A 2099-nucleotide genomic window follows, 5' to 3' on the forward strand; every position below is an offset into this window, starting at 1 on the left:
GAATTCTTCTAAGGATTTCCATGACCATAATTAAATCATAGCACATACCGCATGGGTATCTCTTGTTCAGTATTTATGATAACACTCTTCTTGTCAACTCTGGAAGAGCAATATCTTATCCTAATACAAAAAACCATCTGGTGCTGCAGATGCCAGGTTGTGGTATCTTGACAGTTTTGATGGTAATACCACTGAGTTAATTCTTTGCTAGAGGCAATGAAAAATGAGTACATTTGATTCTTTGATGTATAATTAAAGTAACATGGTTTGTGTCATAAAGGTTTATAAAGTACTTGGGCCAGTCTAGCAAAGCCACATTGATCAGATATGAGGCTATGTACCAAAAGAAAAACTCCTTCCTGCAGGGCAAACACTATGATTTGTCTGAACACAACATGGTACATCAGAACAATTGTGTTTCATACTCCCTGGCCTGACCTATTTTGTTAGTCCCACAAGCCACGACCTCAGACTAGCTCTTTGACTTTGAAGAAAGTGTCCATGCTTTCTTCTCATTTTATTTAATGACATCTCCTATTAATTAGGTTATTGAATTTGATCTGTGACCAGCTCTGCTTCCATTATGGGGCCTAGTTCCCTTTATGTTATGTAATTAAATAGATATATATTTAATATATGTTTATTATCACTATTATTATTTTGCCTTTAAATGTTTCTATCAGCCCTTATATTTTCAAGGAATCTTAATGCACTGTACCTGTGTGGCAAATACTGTAGGCTTTAAAATCATACCACATGTGTTTAAATACTAGCACCATCACTCATGAGCCAGGTGGTCTTATAAACGTTAACTTTTATGACTCAGTTTCTTCAAAAAATATGGATGCAATATTGCCTACATATAGGGTTGTTATAAAGATTTAATTAAAAGCTAAATTTAAAATGCTTAACACAGAGACAATTATAATATAAATGTTATATTTATTATTCACTATAAACACTTTCCTCCCAAGATAATTCCATTGGAGTATTAGACGTTCTAGTTAGTATAGACATTACTTTACCTGTATACAGTCAAACCTCATTATTCATGGATTCTGTGAATTGGCCCACTCACTAAAAGTTATGTGTAACTTCAAAATCAATACTCACGAATTTTCTCCGTCCTTTGCAGACATGCTCAAAACCTCAAAAATTTTGAATCAGTAAATGTGCTTATTCGCAACTGAAATTGAACAAGGCAACACTCTGCCTTCTTGTTTTAGTTTTCATACTTTAAACAAGTGTCCTTTCTACAGTCTATTTGGTGCTACATTTTGTGCTTTTTGTTGGTGATTTTGCTGTTTAAAATGGTCCCCAAGCATAGTGCTAAAGTGTTATTTAATGTTCATGTATATCCATGTGTGCCATATGGAGAAAATATATGTTAGATAATTTTCATTCAGGCATGAGTTATAAGCTGTTGACAGTTATCTCAATGTTAGTAAATCAACACCATGTATACCCAGAAAAATAAAGCGGAAATTTGCTGATCTGTACATGAGGCTGCTCCACAAAGTGCTAAAATAACATCTACAATGCATGAGAAAGACATGGAAAAGATGGAAAACCTGCCAAATTTGTAAATTCATGAGATGACACATATAAAAATGTGTAATGAACAGCATTGTTGTCATTCTTAAAGCCAAATATATATATATGTATATACAGTCATGTTAATCAGGGTCAAGAAAACGCTAAATCCTTCTTGGCCAATGCTGACTGTCTTACGTGTTTTGAAAGCAGCATGGTCTGAAAAATGTTAAACTTGAAGGTTTAACAGACAGGGTGGTTTCTACAGATCTGGAGACTTCATAAAATAATTTAGAATGCCTGATAAATATTATACAGGAGGAAGATTAGGTGGAAGAGCAGGTTTTCAGTTCTGATGATTAAATATTGCCTTGTTTAATAAGGACATAGGCAAATTAACCTATATAACACAAATGACATTTTGGTTGAGGAACATGTTGTGACTCAAGGCTTGCATAAACTTAACCCTGCTTTTTCCCAGAAGCAGTCATTCAATATTTTTAAATTCCGTGTTCATGGTGACTTCATAAAGCATAACTACCATGAGTAATGAGAGCTGACTACAT

The sequence above is a fragment of the Homo sapiens genome, chromosome 14, assembly GCF_000001405.40.
Source record: "Homo sapiens chromosome 14, GRCh38.p14 Primary Assembly".
Lineage (NCBI taxonomy): Eukaryota > Metazoa > Chordata > Mammalia > Primates > Hominidae > Homo > Homo sapiens.